The 26,395-nt window shown below is 36.2% G+C and overlaps 1 long non-coding RNA gene across 1 annotated transcript in view; it reads left to right on the top strand.

The window, feature by feature from the left end:
• LNCPOIR (lncRNA periodontal mesenchymal stem cell osteogenesis related) overlaps positions 1–25,924 on the top strand; it is a 68,396-nt gene extending 42,472 nt beyond the window's left edge. Inside the window, exons 3-4 of the long non-coding RNA NR_183487.1 lie at positions 14,100–14,261; positions 25,343–25,924. This is a non-coding gene — a long non-coding RNA (lncRNA periodontal mesenchymal stem cell osteogenesis related). The remainder of the gene's footprint in view (positions 1–14,099; positions 14,262–25,342) is intronic.
• The last annotated feature ends 471 nt before the right edge of the window (positions 25,925–26,395 follow it).

Here is a 26,395-nt window from a genome sequence, read left to right as displayed (position 1 = left end):
TGTGGTTTTGATTTGCATTTCTCTGATGGCCAGTGATGATGAGCATTTTTTCATGTGTCTGTTAGCTGCATAAATGTCTTCTTTTGAGAAGTGTCTGTTCATATCCTTCGCCCCCTTTTTGATGGGTTTTTTTTTTTTCTTGTAAATTTGTTTGAGTTCATTGTAGATTCTGGATACTAGCCCTTTGTCAGATGAGTAGATTGCAAAATTTTTCTCCCATTCTGTAGGTTGCCTGTTCACTCTGATGGTAGTTTCTTTTGCTGTGCAGAAGCTCTTTAGTTTAATTAGATCCCCTTTGTCAATTTTGGCTTTTGTTGCCATTGCTTTTGGTGTTTTAGCCATGAAGTCCTTGCCCATGTCTATGTCCTGAATGGTATTGCCTATGTTTTCTCCTAGGGTTTTTATGGTTTTAGGTCTAACATTTAAGTCTTTAATCCATGTTGAATTAATTTTAGTATAAGGTGTAAGGAAGGGATCCAGTTTCAGCTTTCTACATATGGCTAGCCAGTTTTCCCAGCACCATTTATTAAACAGGGAATCCTTTCCCCATTTCTTGTTTTTGTCAGGTTTATCAAAGACCAGATAGTTGTAGATGTGTGGTATTATTTCTGAGCGCTCTGTTCTGTTCCATTGGTCTGTATCTCTGTTTTGGTACCAGTACTATGCTGTTTTGGTTACTGTAGCCTTATAGTATAGTTTGAAGTCAGGTAGCGTGATGCCTCCAACTTTGTTCTTTTGGCTTAGGATTGACTTGGCAACCATTGTGGAAGACAGTGTGGTGATTCCTCAAGGATATAGAACTAGAAATACGATTTGACCCAGCCATCCCATTACTGGGTATATAACCAAAGGATTATAAATCATTCTGCTATAAAGACACATGCACACGTATGTTTATTGCGGCACTATTCACAATAGCAAAGACTTGGAACCAACCCAAATGTCCAACAATGATAGACTGGATTAAGAAAATGTGGCACATATACACCATGGAATACTATGCATCCATAAAAAATGATAAGTTCGTGTCCTTTGTAGGGACATGGATGAAGTTGGAAACCATCATTCTCAGCAAACTATCGCAAGGACAAAAAACCAAACACCGCATGTTCTCACTCATAGGTGGGAATTGAACAATGAGAACACTTGGACACAGGAAGGGGAACATCACACACTGGGGCCAGTTGTGGGGTGGGGGGAGTAGGGAGGGATAGAATTAAGAGATATACCTAATGTAAATGACGGGTTAATGGGTGCAGCACACCAATGTGGCACATGTATACATATGTAACAAACCTGCACGTTGTGCATATTTACCCTAGAACTTAAAGTATAATAAAAATAAATATGTAAAAAAGAAAACTACTACTAGTAAATGGGATGGTTCTTAGTTCTTAATCCCAATAGAATTGTTAAGAACAATAAAATTCTTCAGTGACATAAAAGCAAATTACAGCCCCAGGTCTTTTAAATACTTTAAGATAAAAGTTAACTTTTAAGGCTTTAATATTTTGTGGCCCCAAATGTTTTCACTGTACTAAAAAGAGGTCAAAATCTCTGAAATAAGTGGTCTCATGGAACCAAATATCACTAAAAGAAAAAATCACTGAAACAGAATCACCAAATATCACTGAAACAGAAAAATCACTAAGTATATTATATGGTCAGATTGACACCTTATTGGCAAGCACATTACCATATGGAGGGAAAGCAAAACTTCGAAAGCTTAGAAGAAAAGCTAAACTTGGCACTGCTTTTAATAAGCGTAAACACTTCATAAACTGTGGTCAAAAAGAATACTGTATCCTCTGAGGAAAAAAATAATAATAGAAATTCTAACTGGTTCTGATCCCCTAAATAATAAAAATGTGAACATTTCCCACAAAATGTGATTTTCTGACATAAACAATGTTGTCCCTGATCTTTTCTATGCAGGTGTGGAATCTGTGTTGTAGCCTTTGTTAATGTAATAATCATGCCACAGAGTTTCTGTTTTTCACTTTGATCAGACAGATGTAAACTCAAAAACTTGTCTAATTTTGCAGCATATTTTCTTTGAAAATACCTGGCATTGTGTTATTTGGTGAAACAGCCCTTCTTCTTTACAGTCAACGTATTCTTTCTTTTTCCAAATGTTTATAACTGAGTCCTGTTTTTTGACAAGCCTTATGTTGGTAGAAAGCTGGGCAAACAAATACACACATTTAGTGCCACAAATTGATCCACTATTGGTGAAGGACAATGTGAAATTATACAATAAGTGATAAAACTAGTAAAAAAAAAATAAAGCACACATGGGATTAAGTGTCAAATGAGTGATTAGGAATTAAATGCCAAAGGACATCAAGAAGGCATAAATCACTCCTGCTGGATGGTTGGACACCTCTTCTGAGAAGCAGTAGTTTTATTGCTAGAGAGACTCAAGGTGGGTAGAGAAGAGGTCTCAAAGGGGGATGAAGAACATGAGTTAAAGCACAAAAAATTAAAGCACTAACTTTTCTTTTTGTGAAATTGTTAATATTTTACTTGACTGCTCTGGCTTATATCTTTTTATAATATTTAAGTACTTCACATAAAAAGGGATCATTCTTATTATGAGAAAAATTTTAGAGGTTAAAAGGAAGGTCATACCATGTCTCGGAATTCAAAGTTACAGGATCTTCAAGGAACTTGAAAAAGCTCTTCATTTATTATGAGACAAAGTAAAGTTAAACTCATTATTGTCTGGCTAGAGAATACTAAAAATGTTACAATATTTTTCTAAAAAAAATTACATGTTCTCCAAACATGAACAGAATTTTACAATGAGAGAAAAAAAAAATCAGCCTTTTTTCCTCTGCTAAGACCAAAGACATTCAGTACATGCTCACTGCAGATTCCCATTTGACCTTTATCCTATTATTGATATTTGTAGGTGAGATTTTTGCTTTGGATGCTCTGCTGCCAAGGGATTGGTAGTGGCAGTTGAGTTCATGTTGTTTCCCTTTATGCTTAATTTTTAATGACAAGTCTCTGAATTACCAGATTGTGTCAATTACCCTCCAAGAAATCTAATTTTTTTAATGAAATTAGTTGCTTGGAAGAGAAACATAAGCATTAATTTCAGTTTAGCAGTTTCTCTTTGAGCTGCAGCAGGTGCTATTTGATGGAATTGCCAGCACTTGATAAGACTTTATTGGTCCTCACACTCAAATCAGATCAGTGCTGTCCCGACAACTGAGGCCAATGACATGGCACGTGGCAGTAGATCTGAAAAAACAAACTTTCCAAACTTCAATAAAGCACATGGTAATTTCTCTGAAAAGAATTAATGTGACTTTTTAAAAATTATCCCAAGTCTAAAACTCATAAGTAACAAAGTAAGTGAAATATTAAAGAAATTATCCATGATAGTTCAAGATCAAAGCACATTTTTGCAGAATGCTTCTCTAGATCAGCCTAAAAAGTAATTTTTATTTGAATTATCAAGATTGTTCCCTATTTATTTTACTTTATTAATAGAAAACTCTTGGTGTGGTCTATATTCTGACTTGTTATGGCTTTGAACAGATCATGGCAGTCACAGTGTATAATGGTCATCTACTGCAGCAAAGTCACAGGACAAATTTTTATTCACCCATTTATTTGCCCATTTTTATTCCCAATAAGTTTGAATATTATTTCCTTGCCATAAAAACACAGAAAGTCACCATTGTTCTGAAATGTAACATATTTATATTTACCACTATATGGTAGTGCACTGAATTCTTAAAATGCAAAATAGCAAATTTTCATATCAGTTAAGAATTGCAACTATCAACCTCTTCCTATGACCTACTACATAATCAATATTTATTGAGCACCTACAATATACCAGGCATTGCTGTTCCCAGGATACAGCAATAAATAAAAACCAAGTCCTCCCTTTCCTGGTGCTGATGTTCTGGTAAAGAGACGAGTTAATGGGTGCAGCACACCAACATTGCACATGTATACATATGTAACAAACCTTCATGTTGTGTACATGTACCCTAGAACTTAAAGTGTAATAAAAATATATATAAAAAAATAAAATAAAATAAAAGCAAAGCAAAACAAAACAAACAAGCAAACAAAAAAGCATTTAGGTGCAATTTCTGTCCCTGAGGAGCTCTGGCCCAGACCCTAAAGAGAGCCAGAAAAGCATCCCAGAGGAGACTCCATTTTTCTCAGACAGAAAAATTGAGCATAAGTGAAGTCATTATAGGTAATAGGAAAATACAACGGTGATGAGGAAAGGCTTTGCAGAGGAGGTGATGCCTGAGCAGGTCTTCGAGAATGAATACAAATCCAGAGAGAAGCACTCAAGGCAAAAAGAAAGCGAATGCTAAGGCATGGGGGCAGGAAAAAGGATACTGAATTGTGAGGGAAAGGGGTATAAGTCCCCAGCTGATTATCAGCTGAAGGGCTCCTAGGAGTGGGAGGAGACAAGGATGAAAGTATGGGTAGCCCCTGGGTCTGGTGGGCCTGTGGGTCAGTTCCAGGAATTTGGGGATCCTCCTTTCACTAGCCTCTCCTCTCATAAAGGGATAAAGATTAATAAAATAACATGTTTGGATAATTGATTTTTCTTTTGAAGTGGAGTCTTGCTCTGTTGCCTAGGCTGAAGTGCAGTGGTGCGATCTCCGCTCACTACAACCTCCGTCTCCCAGGTTCAAGCAATTCTCGTACCTCAGCCTCTCGAGTTGCTGGGAGTACAGGCATGCATCACCATGCCCAACTAATTTTTCTTTTTTATATTTTTAGAAGAGACGGGGTTTCACTTTGTTGGCTAGGCTAGTCTCAAACTCCTAACCTCAAATGATCTGCCCGCCTTGGCCTCCCAAAGTGCTGGGACTACAGGCGTGAACCGCTGCACCTGGCCTGGATAATTGATTTATAAATAGTTATCTGTTATTCACACATATATACATACACACGTACACTTTTTCTTACATTTCATTTTTAAGGCAGTTAGAAAAGTTTTAAAATTGCAACTTCAAAAATAATTATAATTAATATTTGTATAACACTTGGTACAATAGACTTTATACACTATACAATGAACTCTATAACACTACAAAAATATTGTCTCATATATTCTTATTCGATTAACGATCATCAAAGTAATGCTACAAGGTAGAAAATGTATAATTTCTTCATTTTACAGATCAGGAAAATAGTCCAAAAATCTGTTTTCACTGGGTCGGTATTCAAACAGTGCCCTTCTCCCTCCAAATATTGAGCTCTTTCTACCATACTAGATTAATTTGTATGTAAAGTCCAGTTGTTTTATTCCAATAAAAAATCCTTTTTAATGGAAACCTTTGAGATCTGTAACCCCATGCTCTCTTGGGTCTGAACCATAAGTGTGCTAATACCCTGCCCATTGGGCCATCTCTCCATTCTGCAGGGAGTACTACCTAAGGGAGACTCTCCACCATGAATATTCCTCCAAAACTTTGCAAACCTTTTGCAAACTTCCCTACTGCATTGCTCTCCTGTTCCAAACTTTCCTCCCATCTTTAAAGCCATTCATGTTTTCCTTTTGTCAGTGTTAACTTGGGCAAACTTGGGGGTTTCAGCATCTCCTATTCAAGCTCCCCTTGAATGCAGTTATTTTGTTTACTTAGACTGCTGTGTAGGACCCAAACTTTCCCCTGGACAAAGCACAGTTCTCTTGGGAAATAAAATAATTACCCACGTGAACAGTTTCAAAAAACAATAAAAAATGGTAGGTGATAAAAGATTCTGTTAAGTACACCCTCCCTCTATCTTGATTACAATTGATTTTTAAGTAAAGCCCTTAGAAGAACTTTATACAGTTTTCACTTATTGATTAAAAATACACTAGTTCATCTATGTATCTGAGTATTTTTCTACACTGTTTAAGACATTGTATGGCAAATAACAGTATGTTAGGAACTCGTTTGCTAACAAGGTATTATAATGTTGTTGAATTTCAAGGTAGCACTAGACATTTGAGTTAAAATGAAATATAAATTCTTACCAAATCAAATTCTTATGAAAATTATAAATTTGTTGTTATTGTGTGAGTTACTCATAAGCGAGTATGTTACTGTGTGTATATTCACCAATATTCACAAGGGGAGTGGTGGCTGAGCCATTCAGTTAGTACTAAACTATCGGAGGAAGGAAGGTAGGCACTTCTGTCCAGACTCATTGTTTATTCATGCCAGAATCATCCCTTGTGTTCAGTCTTCTTCAGGACTGGTTCTCTCCCTCTTGTTTAACTCCTGCAATTCCTCTCTGGCTGAGACCGTGGGAAACTCAGTTGAGTCTCCCATGAACATTTCCCTTTTCTGTGCAGCTTTCCTGCATGCAGGAATCACTCTACTTTTCTCACACCCCAGAGGAGTGCAAGAAACTAACTCTAAGTCAATTGTAGGTTGATCTGTCTAGATACACTGTTCAGATATCTATTTCTGTGTCTGTGTATACTAAGCCTGAATTTCCTCTCCAAAAAATGAAGGTCCATGAAAAGTGTCCTCTGCTCTTTGATCTTCAGACCTCTGTGGGTTTGTTCCCATTACATCCACAGATCCTAGTTTCTTAGGGACCACAGCATCTACTCACTCCTGATTCCTCTTTCGTCCCTCCTCCTCTACCTGTGTCAAAGAAATGGTCACCTAATCTGGCAGGTAACCCTGGTGGCAGACAGGTGGGGCAAAATGTTACTATTCTTTACATCACTTTGAGCATTTTGTATTATCCAAATTTTATATTCACTTTTTGAGTCCTAAACTTTTGAAACCTCAAAAATTAAGAATTAACCTCTTGTTTTCCCTGCTTTTGGCTGGCTTTTTCTTCCCTTAGGCAATGATGCAAAATGCCCAGCTGACTAAGTAGGGTTCTCAGGTAAAAGGAAGTATAAAAAAGGCAGCAATTATCATAGTATCCCTTCATACCACTGGTAATTTATGATAAGCCATGTATACAACGATTTACCAACTTCAAATTTTAATAGGCCTGATCATTTACTCTATCAATATTTATAACTTTTACATTGCATGCCTTTCTTATGGATTTCAAATTCTTTCTGAAGATATAAAACAAAGCTTTGTTTATTAAAAGAAAAACTTCACATGTAACAATGTTAAATTGAGCCTAATGGGTGGTGAAAGGTGGTGAAAGCTATGCATATATATTCAAAAATGTTTCTATTTTCTTAAGTCTGAGAAATCCTGCCTCTTGTGTTCTGAAGAGTGGGCTCTGATGAGCAAATTAAGGCTCTCCCATCTGTACTTTTCGATTTCCTCCTCCATTTCAACGTTTTCCCCACCTTTATTTTCTCCCTTCCTTTGTGCTGGATTTGAGAAAGAATTCTCCTTCCCCTTTGCCAAAGTGAATCTCTCTCTTCGCTGGTACTTCTGACCCCCTCACCTTCCTATATTCCAGGAGCTTGCATTGCAGTACAGCAGGGAGTATAGAGTTTGTTATCATCCATGGACTCATCTCCTGGCCCTGTCACTTTTTAGCTGTGCAATGCTGTGCAAGCTACTTAACATCCCACAATTCAGGCTTTACCTTTGAAAAATGGATTCATAAAAGTAAGATGTTTTATCATTGCCTCTCTTACTTTCTTATATTTTCACTTTTTCTCATACTGATTGTGCTTCTTCTCCAACAAATATTCTCAGTTCTTTCTGAATCTGAATGAAAACAAGAGTCTCTCACCCTTGCTGCATGATCTCCTTACCACCCTATGCCTCTCCCTTTACCACCAAATTTTTGAAAGAATAGCTATTCCTGCAGTCTTTTCTTAATAACCCCAAATTTGTTTACTTTGACTACTGATGTTATTGAACTGTTACGTGACCTTCTAATCACAAAGCTCTGTGTCTTTTCTCTATTTTTAAGCTCCTTGAAACATCTGCACCACTTAACACTGTTGGATCCCTTATTTGCTTAAAATAATTTATTCCACAGCCACTATCATTGTGCTATATCTGTGTATCTTTGACTGATCCCTCTTTCTCTTCTACCTACAAATTTAGCTGCTTTTAAAGTTTCTTTTTTTGACTGTCTCCTATTTGACATACACAATCCTTCCTAAAATTTCACCAAATCTAACACCTCTATCTGAATGACCCAAAAGGTACAGTGTCTCCATGCTGAATTAAGAATCTTATGATTTACATGCCTGAGTATTCCACCACACCCTTGAATTCAAAACATCCCACAAACCAAAGACATCCCACTCCTCCCAAACCAGCCCTTCTCAACTCTGCATTAAAGATATTGACATTCTCCCTGGCAACGTGATCCGAATCTTAGAGGTACTTCCTCTCCTACCACCTCCTACCGCCAATCAGTCAACAGTCCTTATAAATTCTAGCTCCATAATATTTTCACATTTATCACTGTCTTCCAGTTTAATTGTTACCACTGTGGCTCAGGGGTTTATTACTTCTTATCTGAACTATTATAATAACCTCTTAATTTGCTCTAACTTATCCTCTCTTCTTCTAGCTTCGTGCCCCCCTCATTTTCTTGACTAACCCATCACCAGCGCCAGATAAATCCTCAGTTTAATTTTAAAAAGTATTTATCAATCAGGAACTTGCAACAGAGAGAAAAGAGGAATTAGCATTTTGGTGCAACAGCTGGATACCATGCTATATATTTTACTGCATTATCTCATTTAATATTCAAAACAAATTGTGGTGGACATACTTGGATGACCATGCAATATTCATTTCCTCCTTCCTCTTTCCAAATAGAGCCCTGATTTTATTCAGGTTACCCCAACCCCTCCCCGTGCCGCCACAAAGGACAATTCTAATTAGTCTGTGCTGGTCAGCTTCAGATTTGTCTGGCTATTGTTATTGGTGTAAGGGTAATTGTAAATCCTAAAATGATTCATAAGAGTAAAGGGAAGAACTGGTATTTCACCATTAGCTAAGATTCTCTCTTAGAGAGCATCTTGCCCGGGTAGCCCCAGCCACCAATTTGGCACCATAAGCAGAGCCAAATTAAGTAGAAAGTAGACAAAAAAAAGGGCTGAATGAGAGTCAGAGTGATATGCTGTACCTCCATCCCTCTGGGCTGTTCATTAAATGAGGTAATATCTTTCCTAACTTGTGATTTACAATTGTGTGGTCTATTACTTGAAGCCAAAATGTGCCTATGAGCAACCTTATGATATGGAGACAGGCTCAGAGAAGCCTAAGTTTACCTGACTGGTATCAGCAGAACCAAAATTTGAAACCACATTTGATTGATTACAAGACCTTGTTTTTTTCACATTATCTGACTAGGACTTTAATCAGCCCAAAACCTATAGAAATATTTTACAAATGTATTGAGTATTACTTTTTATTATGCACTATTGAAGTGTTTTATGAGTAATAACTTACTGACTTCTTAAAATAACTCTATGGGGCCCACATATTATCCTCCTTTTACAAAGACTGAGAGAGTTCAAATAATTTTCTCAAGGTCACACAGCAAGTAATTATCAGAATATGAAATTGAACCAAAGCATTCGGACTTTAGAACTCCTGCTCCTAAGCACTGGGCTTACACATTTCTTCATGTACATTTTGCACATACACAATATTTAAAAAGTAGGTATGTTGCTTTGGTATATTATATTTATGAGAAAAATTATGAGAGCCTCTGCATGAGAAAGCTGGCTTACAGTAGCAATTTCTGTATGTACCAGAGAGAGGTTGGCAGGAGGATGGAAGGAGGGGCTATTTGAATGAAAACATGGGATATGAAATGAAGTAATCTTCTGGCTGAATTGGAGGAAACTCCAACTCTCACATCAGGGGTGAGGCCTTGTAATGTTGCTGGCAGTGGGGTTCTCAAAGAAACCTTCACTTATGGCTTAAGTGTCAATTTGCAATGATACATAGAGACCCAGGCCAACTGCTCTATGGAGTCCTCCACAGTATTGGAATTGATTCCAAATTCCTTAGCCTAGAATTTATATTCTGCTTCCAATCTACGTTTCTAGCCTTCCCTTAGTGCCCTTCCCATCCTTCTCTTTTATACCTCCCATTTCTTCTACTTAAATTTAGGTAACGAAAGGCTGTTTTAAATTAGTACTGATAATTGCATCATTGAAAAATTTAACTTGCTTATAGATAATTTTTAAAACACAACTAGCATCTATTTGCTAGAAACATAAATAACCTCAACAGTTGGATATCTTTGTCATAATGCAATGGAACATATGGTGAGGGCAATGCTAGAACTCTAGAAAATGAGGTTAGCTCAGTGGGAAACTCTGTTTTATATTTCCAAAAAACTCCGTTTAAGTTCTACTCAACTAACAAATGAAATAAGGTCCTGTTCATGCTACATCATGGAAAAGTGCACTATCTGTCCTCACTCCTAAAGAGAAGCCAGGGGCACAAATTAAATAGGCCTGGTAGAGCTTCAAGCATCTGTAATTTAATAAAGTAACTAGAGAATAACAGCTACAGGGTTTATACCTAATCCTTGATTTGTTTTTCACTGTGGATATAAAATAACCCTCCCTCCAAAGCTTCTGTTTAGTATGATATCTTGAGAATAAGTGAAATGTAATTTATTATCTTCATTTAGTAATAGTACATTGTTAAGGTACTGTTTGTCACTTGAATAGTAGGTCTCATCAAAAGGTAATATTCTACTTTTTTCTTAGCATTAGAAATGTTATGTCTGAACAAGATGAATATTGAGCATCCATCTTTCTTTTTTAACTGTCACTGAGACACTGGGGAGACCATAAACAGTAAAGAGAATGATTAACCGTATCACACAGTCAGTAATTTAAGGAGCAGGGAAATATTTTCAGATCATCATCAATCTGAATGTTTTCCTTTTACAACAGAAAACCAGGTGATTTAAAATCTCTCCACATATACAAGGCATACCAGAGATAGAATTCAGGGAAAAAAAAAAAAAGAACAAAATCTGGTGCTATTTGGGAGTTTTGCATGTTATGCTAAGCTTTCCGGGTTCCCGACAGGAAGGTAATTCACATTGCATATGACATTGCAGCACAGTAAATTTTATTAATGGAAACCTATTATCTATCCAGTTGGAGAAATGGGGAGGGCAAATAGGTTAAAATTTTTCTCTTAACTATTAGTTAATGTGCCTCAGGTGGTCTCCTTCCCATTAATTTCATTGTACTACAAGAAAATATGGTAAGAGCAGCTGTACATGTTAATCAGTGCTGCTTGCAAAATACTACAAGATACAGACCTGAATGTCTCCCTGAAAAATCAATAACAATAACAGCACCACCGTCAGAGGAGAAACTATTAAACACTGCCCATGCCAGCACATATACTATGGCAAATTCTAACAACATCTATGTTTCTAACTAGATTGGTGTTTATGTTAGAATAATCAAGTCAAGAAAATGCCTTATACTCAGCCATGGTCCACATCACATATTGTAGCAAGAAGAACATAAATTAATGTATGCAAATAAAATTCAGATTACATTGATTTTATTTTGGTTTGGGAATATGTGACTATTACCAGATTTTTTTAGAGAAAGAACATTTATCAACTTGCTTTAAAGTAGCCGTAACAAGGAGAAACCAGGATCTTAAAAAGTCTTTTAAACAAATTAAAAACATGATGTATTAGGACTTTTTATTTTGAAAGTGACAAGGACATATTCTATCCAGCTTAAGAAAGGAAGAGAATGTATTGCTCAAGTAATTGGAAAGGGAAGAGCTAGTGCCAGCTTCAGAGATGACTGAGATACAAAGATCATCATGTCTCTCTTTTTCTTGTTTTCATTTTTATTCGTTTCTCTCTTCCTTTACTTCCTTGTTTCAAATTTCTTTTTATGTGATGGCTTCATCCTCTTCTACGCCAATGTTTTCTCCATGTGTAGTCGCACATGAATACATATATGCAGACAAACAAGAACAGAATGGTTGGAGTAAGAGAGGAGGAATTTCCCAAAGAAAGTTGGGGGATTGGAAAGGAAACTGTTACAAGAAGAGCAAGAATTGGACAGAAACCCAAAAGAATAGAAATCTGCATTATTGCTTCTCAGTGTGATCAGCAGCATCCACATCACCTGGGAAATTGTTAGAAATGCATATTCTTCAGACTGACTGAATGAAACTGTGGGGGTGGGTCCCAGCAATCTGTTTTCACAAGCTCTCTAAATGATTATGATGGATACTAAGGTTTGAGAACCACTGTTCTACATGAAGATTCCAGATTATCATCGTAAACATATACCCTGTATATCCAACTGTCCCATGTGTACTTTAAGTTGTACCAGTTTGATAGAGCTTATCATAAACTCCCAAAGTTGTTCCTCCTCCGGTATTTGTATTATCAGTTAATCCCTCCACAGTCCATCTGGAAACTTTGAGCTCCATCCTAGAGTTCTCCTACCCTAACCCTCACTTCCAATAAACTGTAAATCTTGCCTATTTGACCTCCTATACATTAATATCAATCTCTTTACTGATCTCTCTGGTACCTTCCCTTCCCATAACTCCAAATTCATTTCTCCTCTATAAACAAAATTATTTCATTAAAGTACAAATTTGACGATGCCTCGCCTCTGTTAAAATATTCACAAGCCTCGCAGAATAAATCCTGCAGAAGAAACTGCACAATCTTTAGCTAAGGCACTGACTATCTGAGCCTCTACTTTGCTCTCCTCCAATTATAAGCTTCAGAGATCTATAAGCTCCCCAGGATTCTATTTTTAAAATCATGCTATGTTTATATATGCTGGGGAGTAGGTCCCCAGCTTTCATCAAAGTCTTATTGACCCAAAAAGTTTAAAAACTATCAATACAGTAGACAGAAGAGAAAAGTAATTTTGGTTGTCAGGTACATGTTTATGATTGAGAGTACCCTGAAAAAAAAAGTTCAGACTAATTTAACACATCTTTAAATATAAAACGATTCCTGTGCTTTTAAGAGAGTGATGCTATGGGTAAATATAGATAATCTGTATAGAATTAAGCATGGTGAAAAAGATTTTTCACAAAGGCAAAAATATCATTGTTCTACTTGTGTTCTGTTGATTAGACTCATGCTAATTATTTCATGGTTAAAAACTTACTGGAGAAGTTGGAATACAAACTAAAAACAAAGAACGATTTGAAAAAAAGAATGCATTTAATGTGAATATAGATTTGATAGGAAGATTGGATAAGGATTGCAATAGCTATTTTGGGGAGTCATGTAGCATATTTTTCATTAAATTTCATTATTTTTTAACGTCCTACAATTCCTACCTTTCCCATCCTTGTGATGGATGTGTAATGCAAGTGTGACCAATTACCATGATCAATTTTCCTATCACGGTGATTAACTCTAGAGTAAGTGTTTAACAAACAAACAGAGACAAACAGAGCCCTTCCCCTAAATTGATAAATGGAAATTGGAAACAAGTTCTCTTTCAACTGAGTGTGCTAAAACAGGGCCATGTAAATCTAAGCCTGCCAGTGGCAATAGAGAGAACTTGTCAGTAGGAAAAAATTGAGCCAAAAGATGAGGAAAACTGAAACAAGTAAAGCTGAGAAAGAGGGAGGAAAAAGAAGCTTTGAAGGTATGGGATGAACTCTTGAACAGTCAGATTGATCTTTTAAAAGCTAGATTTACTTTGGACTTTCTAGCCATATTGGTTAGCACATTCTTTGTTGCTTGAACTATGTTAAGTAGGATTTGAATTATAGTCGTTCTTTGACTTACAATAGGATTACATCCTGATCAACTTATTATAAATCGATCACATTTAATATACCCAGCCTACTGGACATCATAGCTTAGCCTAGCCTACATTAACCATGTTCAGAGCACTTACATTAGCCTACATTTGGACAAAATTATCTAACACAAAGCCTATTTTATATTACAGTGTTGAATATCTCATGTAATTTATTAAATATTGTACTAAAAGAGAAAAACAGAATGGTTGGTGGGAACTTTAAATATAGTTTCAACTGAATGTGTGTGCTTTTGCACCATCACACAGTTGAAAAATCATAAGTCAGGGACCATCTGCACTTTGAATAGAATTACTGGCAACAGAAACATACCTGTCTAATATACTAGAACTCTGACTCCATGCTTTGCTGTCATTCTGTTTTTTACAGGGACAGATCCCAGGTCTAAACCCTAGCCAAAACCCCTTGTGTTAGAGGAGCTCACCCTTTACTGCTGATGAAATCTCCATGATGAAGTGCTTTCCTGGTGACACCCAGAGATCGTTTGCTATGTGAATGCTTTTCTTGCTCAAATTTCAACAAACATGATTGGTAGGTGCTCTATTTAGGCTGTATAGAAAGCACCAGAACATAGCGTGATGGAGGCAGCATGAACTCCTCAAAATTGCCAATACCAGCTCTAAAATGAAAACATACATTATCTTCATACATCAGAAGAATGAATACTGTTAAAATTACCTTACTACTCAAAGTGATCCACAGATTTAATGCAATCTCCATCAAATGACATTCTTCACAGAAATAGAAAAAGTGATCCTAAAATCTGTGTAGAACCGTAACACTTTGAATAGACAAAGTAATCTAAGGAAAAAGAACAAAGCTGGAGACATCACATAACCTGACTTCAAAATATACTACAAGGCTACAATAACAGAAACAACATGATATTTGTATGAAAGCAGACACATAGACCAATGAAACAGAATAGAGAACCCAGAAAAAAATCCACATATTTATAGCCAAAATATCTTTTGACAAAGTGCCAAAAACATACATTAGGGAAAAGACACCATCATTGATAAATGATACTAGAGAAATTGGATATCCATATGCAGAAAAATGAAGCTAGACCCCTATCTCTCACCATATACATATAAAAATCAACTCAAAATGGATTCAAGACTTAGATGTAGACCAGAAAATTTTTACTATAAAAAAGACCAGAAACTATAAAACTACTGGAAGAAAATATAGGGGGAAAATGTTAGGATACTGGCCTACGTAAAGATATTATGACTAAGACTTCAAAAGCACAGGCAACAAAAACAAAAATTGACAAGTGGGACTACATGAAACTAAAAGGTTCTTGCACAGCAAAGGAAACAGTCAACAGAGTGAAGAGACAACCTGTAGAACAGAAGAAAGTATTTGCAAACTAGTCATCCAACAATGAACTAATATCTATATTATACAAGGATCTCAAACGATTCAATAAAGAAGTTTTGAAGGTATGAAACTTTGAAGCTAATAATCCATTAAAAAATGGACAAAGGATCGGAATTGACATTTCTCAAAAGAAGACATAAAAATAACCAATAGTATATGAAAAAATGCTCAACATCACGAATCATGAGGGAAACGCAAATTAAAATCACAATGAGTTATCAACTCACACCAGTTCAAATGGTTATTATCAAAAAGACAAAATATAAAAAATGCTGGTGAGGATTCAGAGAAAAGGGAACTCTTTTACACTGTTGGTAGCAGTGTAAATTAGTACAGCCATTATGGGAAATATTACGGAGGCTTCTTTAAATACTAAAAGTAAAACTACCATAAAATTGAGCAATCCCACTATTATTACTCCAAAGAAAAGGAAAGGATTATATCAAAGAGATAACTACATCCCCATGTTTATTGCAGCACTATTCACAGTAGCCAAGATATGGAATCAACCTAAGTGTCTGCTAACAGATGAATGTATGAAGAAAATTGGGTATATATACATAATAGAATACTATTTGGCCATAAAAAAGAAAGAAATTCTGCCATTTGCAGCTACATGGATGGAATTGGAGGTCATTGCTTTAAGTGAATTAAGCCAGGCACAGAAAGACAAATATTGCATGTTCTCACTGATATGTGAGAGGTAAATAGATGATTTCATGGAGATAGAGAGTAAAATGATAGCTACTAGGGGCTGGGAAGAATGTGTGTGTTTGGAAGTGGGGAGGATGAGGAGAGGTAGGTTAATGGGTACAAATAGACAGAATGAATTCTAGCTTTTTATATCATAGTAGGGTGATTATAGTTAACAATAATTTATTGTATATTTTTAAATAAATAAAAGAGAAGGTTTGAAATGTTCTCAACACAAAGAAATGATAAATGTTTGACATGATAAATATCCGAAATACCTAAATTTAATTATTACACATTGTGTGCATGTACCAAAATTTCACATGTATCCCATAAATATCTACAACTGTTATGTATCAATTTTTAGAAAGGTAAAAATAATTGCCAATACCAGCTCTGTAAGTTTGGACTAATTACTTAACCTGCTAAGTCTAGCTTTCTTCACTTGTTAAAATGGGTATACTATCTAGTTTACAATATTATATGAAAAAATGAAGTTAATAATGCAGGCTATTACTGTGTCTATCACATATTTGTACTCAATAAATATTCTTTGTCACAGGCACATATATGCAAATAGAAGAAAGACAATGGTCTTTGCTTGGAAGCACTGTGAATCCACATAGGTTACTCATGAACTGAGCCTTGGAGGGTGATCAGGATTTTGCCAGATAGAAAAAGGAAGGAAGGACATTATATTTAGAGAATGACATATGATGCTAGTTATTCTTCATTCACCTCTATAGATTCCTCATCTGCCCACCTCTTTATAACCTGGAAGAATGGCCTGTAGGAACTGCATTACCCAGGCTCCCTTATCCACCAGCTTCTGCTGGGATCAGCCAATGGTAGGCACATGCAGGATAATGGAAGGTGAAAAGAAAGACAGTTTAAGGTATTTATCTTTTCAGGTCACCTAATTCTCATGGCTACTACTCTCGCTGGTTTCCAGTAACAAATTCAGGTCTAGAGGCAGTAACAGCTTTCCTGTATTGCTGGCTAATATGCGCCTCAATGCTCTTTGTTGGTTTCCCTCTCCTCTCCCCACACCTTTCTAAATAGTCCCTACATTTAGCCTTCTCCAGATTTAAGACTATAAGTCTGTGTTTCTTTCATGCCAGTACCCAGACCTTTACAACATGTAGATCATAGGGAGCAAAAATACATGGTTTATTTAGGGAATGATAAATAGTTCAATTTCCCCCCATTTCCAAAATAACAAAAATGAATAAAATATAAAAAACATCCCTCCTAATATTCTTCTGGAACTATCACCCTTTTTCTCCTTTCCCATCATCAAGCCTTGCTGTCGAAAAAGAAGGGGGGAGTTTATACTGAGTCACCCAACTCTTCACTCCTTTTCAGTCAGGCTTCAAGGCCACCCTTCCCCAACATTTCTTGAAAATACTATCCAAGTGCCTGTAACAACAGCTTCTGAACTATAGATATCCCTTGTCAGATTTAGAAAATTCCCTTCAATCTCTAATTTGCTGAGAGTTTTTATCATAAATGAGTGTTGAATTTTATCAAATATTTCTTTACAGCTATTGAGATGATCATATGGGTTTTTACCTTTATTCTGTTAGGGGGTAAATTACATTGATTAATTTTCAGATATTAAATCACCCTCGCATTCCAGGAATAAACCTTACTTGGTCATTTTTCATGTTATACATAACTGGGTTCCATTTACTATTTTCTTTTTTAGAATGTTTTAGTCCATGTTCACTAGGAACATTGGCCTATAATTTTCTTTTTTACTGTCTTTTTCAGGTTTTGGTATCAGAATTATACAGGCCAAAAACTAAATTGAGAAATATTCCTTACACAATTATCTCTCAGTTTACTCCCTAAGGCTTTTTCTCATAGAGTTGTTTCTTTCCAGCCATTTTATTTTTCCACTTCTAATTCTGTGTCCATTGTTCAAATTCTAGAGTTTGCTAAGATTTTACTAATTGTCTTAGTATATAGTAAGACGCATCAGGGTAAATAAGTAGGTTGGTAGCTTGGGTCCAGAGAGAGAGAGAGAGAGAGATCTTTTTATATGTATAAGAGATATATATGCACACACACATATATGTATATATATATATATATTCTTAAGCTTTTATTTTGGGTTCAGGAGTACATGTGCAGGTTTGTTACATAGGTAAACTTGTGTCACAGGGGTTTGCTGTCCAGATTATTTCATCACCCAGATACTAAGCCTAGTAGCAAATAGTTATTTTTTCTGCTCCTCTCCCTCCTCTCACCCTCCACCCTCTGGTAGGCCCCAATGTCTGTTGTTCCTCTCTTTGTGTTCATAAGTTCTCATTATTTAGCTCCCACTTATAAGTGAGAACATGCAGTATTTAGTTTCCCATTCCTGTGTTAGTTTGCTAGGGATAATGGCCTTCAACTCCATCCATGTTCCTGCAAAAGACATGATATTGCTTTTTTGTTATGGCTGCATAGTATTCCATGGTGTGTGTCTGCCACATTTTCTTTATTCAATCTGTCATTGATGGGCATTTAGTTTGATTCCATGTCTTTGCTATTGTGAATAGTGCTGCAGTGAACATATACATGCATGTGTGTTTATGATAGAATGATTTATATTTCTTTGGGTATATATTTAGTAACAGGAGTGCTGGGTCAAATGGTAGTTCTATTTTTAGCTCTTTGAAGATTTGCCACACTGCTTTCCACAATGGTTGAATTAATTTACACTCCCACAAACAGTGTATAAGCATTTCATTGTCTTCACAACCTTGCCAGCATCTGTTATTTTTTTGACTTTTTAATAATAGCCACTCTGACTGGTGTGAAATGATATCTCATTGTGGTTTTAATTTGAATGTCTCTAATGATTAGTGATGTTGAGTGTTTTTTCATATGCTTGTTGGCCACATGTATGTCTTATTTTGAAAAGTTCATGTCCTTTGCCCACTTTTTAATGGCGTTGATTTTTTTCTTGTAAATGTGTTTCCATATACATGCTGGATATTAGACCTTTGTTGAATGCATAGTTTGCAAAAATTTTCTCCCATTCTGTAGGTTGTCTCTTTACACTGTTGATGGCTTCTTTTGCTATGCAGTTGTTCTTAGATTCCATTTGTGAACTTTTGCTTCTGTTGCAATTGCTTTTGACAACTTTGTCATGAAATCTTTGGCTGTTCTTATGTGCAAAAGGGTATTACCTAAGTTTTCTTCCAGTGTTTTCCTAGTTTGGGGTTTTATATTTAAGTCTTTAATCCATCTTGAGTTTATTTTTGTATATGGTGTAAGGAAGCGGTCCAGTTTCATTCTTCTGCATATGGCTAGCCAGTTATCTCAGCACCATTTATTGAATAAGGAATCCTTTCCCCATTGCTTGTTTTTGTCAGATTTGTTGCAGATGAGATAGTTGCAGGTTTGTGGCCTTATTTCTGGGCTCTCTTGTGTTCCATTGGTCTATGTGTCTCTTTTTGTACCAGTACCATGCTGTTGTAGTTACTAATAATCCTGTAGAATAGTTTGAAGTTGGGTAATTTGATGCCTTCAGTTTTGTTCTTTTTGCTTAGGATTGCCTTGGCTATTTGGGCTCTTTTTTGTTTCCATATGAATTTTCAAATAGTTTTTTCTAGTTCTGTGAAGGATGTCATTGGTAGTTTGATATGAATAGCATTGAATCTGTAAATTGCTTTGGGCAGCATGGCCATCTTAATGATACTTATTTTTCCTATCCATGAGCATGAACATAGAATGTTTTTCCATTTGTTTGTGTCATCTCTGTTTTCTTTGGGCAGTGGCTTTGTAATTCTCATTGTACATACCTTCCACCTCCCTGGTTAGCTGTATTCCTAAGTATTTTATTCTTTTTGTGGCAATTGTGAATGGGATTACATTCCTGATTTGTCTTTCAGCTTGGCTGATGTTGTAGTATAGGAATTGTTGTTGTACAGGAATGCTAGTGATTTTTTTACATTGATTTTGTATCCTGTAACTTAGCTGAAGTTGTTTATCAGATCAAGGAGCTTTGGGACAGAGACTGTGGGGTTTTCTAGATATAGAATCATGTCGCCTACAAACAGGGATACTTTGACTTTCTCTCTTCCTATTTCTTTATTTCTTTCTCTTGTCTCATTGCTCTGACCAGGACTTACAGTACTACATTGGCTAGGAATCAGAGAGAGGGCATGCTTGTCTTGTGCCAGTTTTCAAGGGGAATGCTTCCAGCTTTCGACCATTGAGTATAATATTGGCTGTGAGTTTGTCATAGATGGCTGTTATTCTTTTGAGGTATTTTCTTTCAATACCTACTTAGTTCAGGGTTTTTAACATGAAGAGATGTTGAATTTCATCAAAAGCCTTTTCTGCATCTATTGAGGTAGTCCTGTGGTTTTTGTTTTTAGTTCTGTTTGTGTAATGAATCACATTTATTCATTTTCATATGTTGAGCCAACCTTGTATCCCAGGAATGAAGCCTACTTGATCGTGGTGGATTAACTTTTTAATGTGCTGCTGGATTTGGTTTGCAAGCACTTTGTTGAGTATTTTTGTATCAATGGTCATCAAGGATATTGGCCTGAAGTTTTCTTTTTTTGTTGTGTCTCTGCCAGCTTTTGGTATCAGGATGATGCTGGCCTCATAGAATGTGTGGAGAAGAGGGCCTCCTCAAGTTTTTGGAATAGTTTCCATAGAAATGTTACCAGCTCTTCTTTGTACTTCTGGTAAAATTCAGATGTGAATCCATCTGGTTCTGGGCTTTTATTTGATTCGTAGGCTATTTATTAATGACTCAATTTCAGATCTTGTCATTGGTCTGTTCAGGGAATCAATTTCTTCCTGGTTACGTCTTGGGAGGCTGTATGTGTCCAGAAATTTCTCCATTTCTTCTAGATTTTCTAGTTTGTGTGCATAGAGTTGTTCATAGTAGTTTCTGATGGTTGTTTTTATTTCTGTGGGATCAGTGGTAACTTCCCTTTTGTTGTTTAAAGAGATTTATATTAAGCCTTTGTTATATTTCACCTAAGCCAAAAAAGAAAAAAAAAAGAAGAGAAAAGAGAACAGAAAAGAAGAAAAGAAAAGAAAGAAAGGAGAAGAGAGAGAAAGAGAGAAGAGAAGAGAAGAGAAAAGAAGAAAAGAAAAGAAAAGACCAGACCAGACCCATAGAATCCTATGGGATCTGCTGACATGTTTGTCTGAACTTCGTCTTCCATATCACTGTCAAGATAGTTTTTCTAACTCACCACTCCAAAATCTATGAAAAGCCTCCATAAGCCCCTAGTTGCCCTCCAAATTATAACTGCATTTGGTTCACACTTTTCCCTCCTCCTGAAGTGACTTTCCTTCTTATTCCGCTTTTAAAAACTTTATCACCTGCAAAATTCACTTCAAAAAGAGCTCCCTCCATGAAGGTTTAATTACTCTCTTGGCCCTAAAGGAATGACATCTCCTGTTTGGCCTGTTCACATTGCTGCACTGCACTGGTAACTCTTCAACGAAACCCATTTTTACTCTTACCTCTTATTGTTACTTATGTACAGGTCTTATTGCCTCTCTCAACCTCAACTAAACTATTTAAGAGAAGTGTACTCATCTGTTTATTTCCTGCTGAGTCTAGTCCAATCTCTTATAATTTTTAGACCATTAAAAAGCTATTTGCTGAAGTGAATTGAGTTGAAATTGGTATAGACAAGCCAGTATGTCTGGTCATCTTAATCTATATGTTATTGAACAATGTGCCAGCTGGAATCTCCTTTTATGTAGTGTCCTTCTCAGTATTCTTTTTCCTTTCCCATGGCATTTTGAGTCCTACTGCTAAAGTAGAAAATTTAAGAAAGCATGTTTTCCATAGTGAAAGAAACATAGGTAAAATTCTGATAAAAATAAAGCATTAGAACTGAACATTCAATTAGTAAATGCTAATAAATCCATGGACTAAAACAAAAGTTATCATAAAAGTAGCTAGCAATGCACAAGGACATGTTTAGATAATATTATACAATTTATGCTTATTTTCTTTCTCCAGTGCTCATTCTTTCCAAATGTTTGTTATCTATGCTGGATCTTGATGAGAGGAAGAAAAAAAGAAAAATGAATAAACCATATCTTACAAAATGATTTCCAGACTGTAATTTGTAACCTGAAATAAAATATATGTATCTATTTATATTGACTTCCTAGTCAGGAAAAAATGATAAGCAAACAGCAGCAACAAAAGAGCTGCAACCCTTTGACCACCGAGAGTGTTATGAAGGCTTAGTGCTGCCATCCAGCACCCAGCAGTCAGACTGTCAAAGCATAGCATGTAAAGTCTGAGACAGCATAGCATTTCTAAATCAATAAAACATCAACTTGGTCCTACTTTTGATGCAAAAAAATTCTAGTGGTTTAACCCAGAAATAGAGTGAAATACAGAAATAACAGAAGATAGAAGATCAAAATTGTACTCAAGTTTACTTGCTTTTTAGGTTTTTTTTTCAAATACCATTTGAACACCCAAAACAAAGTTAAATATGAGAATGTATGTCAGAATTAGAGATGAATAACAGGGACTTGGATGTGGGCTAAAGCTAATGTGGGCATCGTAGCTACGGATGAAAGCTGTTGCCAGAATGAGTTAAAGGCCCTGAATGCTTGCTGATCTTTCTTCCACATAATTAAGTTTCTTCAGTATTTTTCTAGACCCTGCCTCTTTTGGACCACACTGTATGTTTTCTTCTCTCCCTCACTTCTTCTGGAATACTATCTGGGAACATATCAGTCCAGCCAATGTATATATAAAAATAAAATAAGAAAAGCGTTTCAAATATGATTCAAATCATATCCAATCATCTACATATTCAAAAATATCTAAGGAAAAAATACACACAGTGATCCCATTCTTATGTGACTTGCTTTGTGTTTCTGCTTCTGCACTTAAGACAAGAGCTATCTTACATAAATGAATTAATCTGTAAATTTAAAGTTAGGTGGAGTGAGGAATTACTTTGATGACATTGATCAAGGAGAAAAGAGTAAGGGAATATGAGACGATCCTCAGTCTGGAGGAAGGGAAAGATATAGAGCTATGTGAAACAAGCTACCAGTGGAAAGGCAATGAGTAGGCCACAAGGGATAGTGAGAAAAGAATATCAAAAAGGAAGAAATCTGAAGAGATTTGGAGGGTACAATAGAATGAAAAAATGATTGTAGAAATAATTTGTGAATATTGGCGTTAGATACCTAGGAAAAGAAACAAGTTCGAAAGAGTATGGATGTAATATTTTTTTTCAAATGTAAGGTAATGATTCTGCTGATTGTATTGTAGTGTCATAGAATATGCAAAAAGTGCCTCCTGAAATTGTGCTCTACACAATGCGTGTGGCCAGATGTGAGGGCTGTAATGGAAATGTTCAAATTAAACAGAGGACATGCCACTGAAGAACCTTCCAGAAAGTACTTTGCTTTCTATCGCAAGCAAAAAGCATGGTCTACTAGGAAATATCTTCCCTAGAAATATGAAGATCAGGCTTCTCACCATCATGCCGTTATTATTTTGGACCACATGAAATTATCAATATCAGACAAATTTTTTACCTGTAAAAGTTTTAATTTCACAGAGTTCAACCTAATAGTTGAATAATCTTGGTAAAGATATTTTACTTTTGTGGGTCTTACTTTACTTATCTATAAAATGAGAATTTTAGTCTAGATCAGTGAGTTTCAATATATATTTTTCCATGTTCCCTCTCCCATAACCATATCAGCAATACCTCTCTTGACGCACAGTGATAGCAGATATGGATAGGGGTAGGAGCACCACATTTTCTCTCTCCAGGAGACAGAAATTCTGATATGCTCCTTTACTGAGCCATTCCTTTTTCCTGCCCTATTGAAAACACTGGGTGAGATGCCAGAATTTTTCTAATGAACAGAATGGTTCTCTCAGTGTCAGGTACTAAAGTTGCAGTACAGTTGGTGTCAAAAGTCTGGAATAATACACCCCATAATCATAATTTTAAGCTATGTATCTTGATTCTTCTCCTGTGGCAAACGCAAGTCATAAGCTGAGTAAAAACAAGTCAATGGGCTGAGGATGTGACCATTTTGACATTCCACCTCCTAGGGAAAATAGCAACCAGGAATAACGGACAAGGCTAAGGCCCAAGGCAACGTGCTAAAGTGGAGAATCCTCTGCTCTCCTTTGGGAGGTCAGATGAATGCAGAGAATGCAGCCTTGCTTAGGAAAAGGCAGAGTAGAGCTACTTAGGCTATAGCACTTGTGACTCCATTTTGTAATTTCTGTTTAATTTGCTGTTTTGACACAAGACTCACAGCTTCTTGAAATCATCCATCTTTGTATCCCAAATATCTATCATAATGCCTTCTTGTCATTTAGTAGACACAAATACTTGTCCCTTTCTGAGCCTTCATTGCCATTAGGAGATAGTTTTAAAATTTGGACAAAAAGTTTACAAAAATATTACAAATAAGTCCTTTATACCCTCTACCTAGTTTCGTGTGTTTTTAACATTTTGCCATATTTGCCTTACCCTTCTCACTCTAAACAATTTTAGAGTGGGTCACAAACATCACAGCCCTTTACCCCTACTGAAACGGTTTGGATATGTGTTCCCACCAAAATCTCATGTCGAATTGTTATTCCCAGTGTTGGAGGAGGGGCCTCGTGGAAGGTGATTGGATCATGGGGGTGGATTTTGCCCTTGCTGTTGTCGTGATAGTGAATGAGCTCTCACGTGATCTGGTTGTTTAAAAGTGTGTAGCACCTCCCCATTTGTTCTCTCTTCTTCCTGCTCTGGCCATGTAAGATGTGCCTGCTCCCTCTTTTCCTTTTGCCATGATTGTAAGTTTCCTGAAGCTTCCCCAGCCGTGCTTCCAGTATTGTCTGCAGAACTGCAAATCAATTAAACCTCTTTTCTTTATTAATTACGCTGTCTCAGGGGTTTCTCTATAGCAGTGCAAGAATGGACTAATACACCTACGTACTTCACTGTGTATTTCCTAAAAACAAAGAAATTATATTTGATAACCACAATACACTATCAAAATCCAATTATAATCCATATATTTGAACCATAGTTATACTTTGTCAATTATGCCAATGTATTTATTTATTTATTTATTTTTGAGAGGGAGTCTCACTCTGGTGCCCAGGCTGGAGTGCAGTGGCATGATCTCAGCATACTGCAACCTCTGCCTCCTGGGTTCAAACGATTCTCCTACCTCAGCCTCTCGAGTAAGTGAGATTACAGGTTCGTGTCACCAGGCCTGGCTAATTTTTGTATTTTAGTAGAGATGGGATTTCACCTTCTTGGCCAGGCTGATCTCGAACTCCTGACCTCAAGTGATCCACCCGCCTCAGCCCCGCAAAGTGCTGGGATTACAGGCATGAGCCACTGCAGCCTGCCGCCAACTTTATAGCAAACTTTTCCAGTCAACAATACAGACATTGCAGTTAATTTTTATTTCATTTTACTCTCTTTTGATTTGGAACAGGATAATAATTTCTGAATGGAAACTAAGGTGTATTCTGTCATCTTAACTCTTTTTTTAATTTCTTTGTACAGTACTAAATCGCTAACACCTGGAATTTCAAAGACAACAGTGGAAAGGAAATGAGACTTGGAATCAAAAGACTTCAGTTTCAATCTAAAGTCCCTGAATGTGTAAACTATTGTGATTTTTCTTAGCTACAGTCCTCTCACTTATAAAATGTTTACTGTCCTCAGTAGTACATTGTGAAATATCTTGTGAGAAGGCTTTATATATAGTGAGGAACTATCCAAGCATTAATAATTTTTTTCATCTCTAGCTACATATCCCTTGATCATAAAGAAGATACTACAAAATATTCAAAGATAAAATATTAACACTCACCAGCAAAACAAAATATAGAATGATCTAGAGAGGTTTGGGGCATATACAGAAGAAAAATAATCAGAAAATCCCAACAAACTGTCTAAATGACATACAGTTTCTCATTCTTAATGCTATTGATATTTTAGACATGATAATTTATTGTCATAGGGGAAGGGGGAGATTGTCCTGTGCATTGTATGATGTTTAGTCATATTCCTTTTTAAGTGGCCCAACAGATTTCCACTTGCTTCAAAGTTAGTCATTTCCACTGTGATTAGAATATATATATATACATATACATCTGTTTTACAATATTAATTTATGGTATAATTGTATATTTACATATCTACTTTGCTCATTTATCTTGAGTTCCTCATTGGTAGGAACCACATATTTCTAATCTTCCCAGTATTGCAGTATATCTCTTGATAAATATTTGGTGGAGGAAGGAAGGAATGAGAGAGGAAGTAAAGAAGGAGGGAGGGAGGGAGGGAGGAAGGGACGGAGGGAGTGAAGAAAGAAGGAAGGAAGGAAGGAACTTTAGGTTATAGTTGGTACAGAAGTTCTAGTGGAATAATTTGCAGAACTGAAAGAGAATGACCTGGATCCAAGTGCCTCATGAGAATCCATCTGAAAAACATTTCTTGATATTGGACACTTTTTGACTGAAGGTTATAAAATAAAAACTCTCATTAAAAAACCAGATACGTGCTATTTGAAGCTCCAATTTAAGTTTTTCATCAAGAAAGGTGTATGTGGGT

The sequence above is a fragment of the Homo sapiens genome, chromosome 6, assembly GCF_000001405.40.
Source record: "Homo sapiens chromosome 6, GRCh38.p14 Primary Assembly".
NCBI classification, from domain to species: Eukaryota; Metazoa; Chordata; class Mammalia; order Primates; family Hominidae; genus Homo; species Homo sapiens.
The sequence above is the reverse complement of the archived record's forward strand: the minus strand, read 5'-3'. Positions and strand labels throughout refer to the sequence as shown.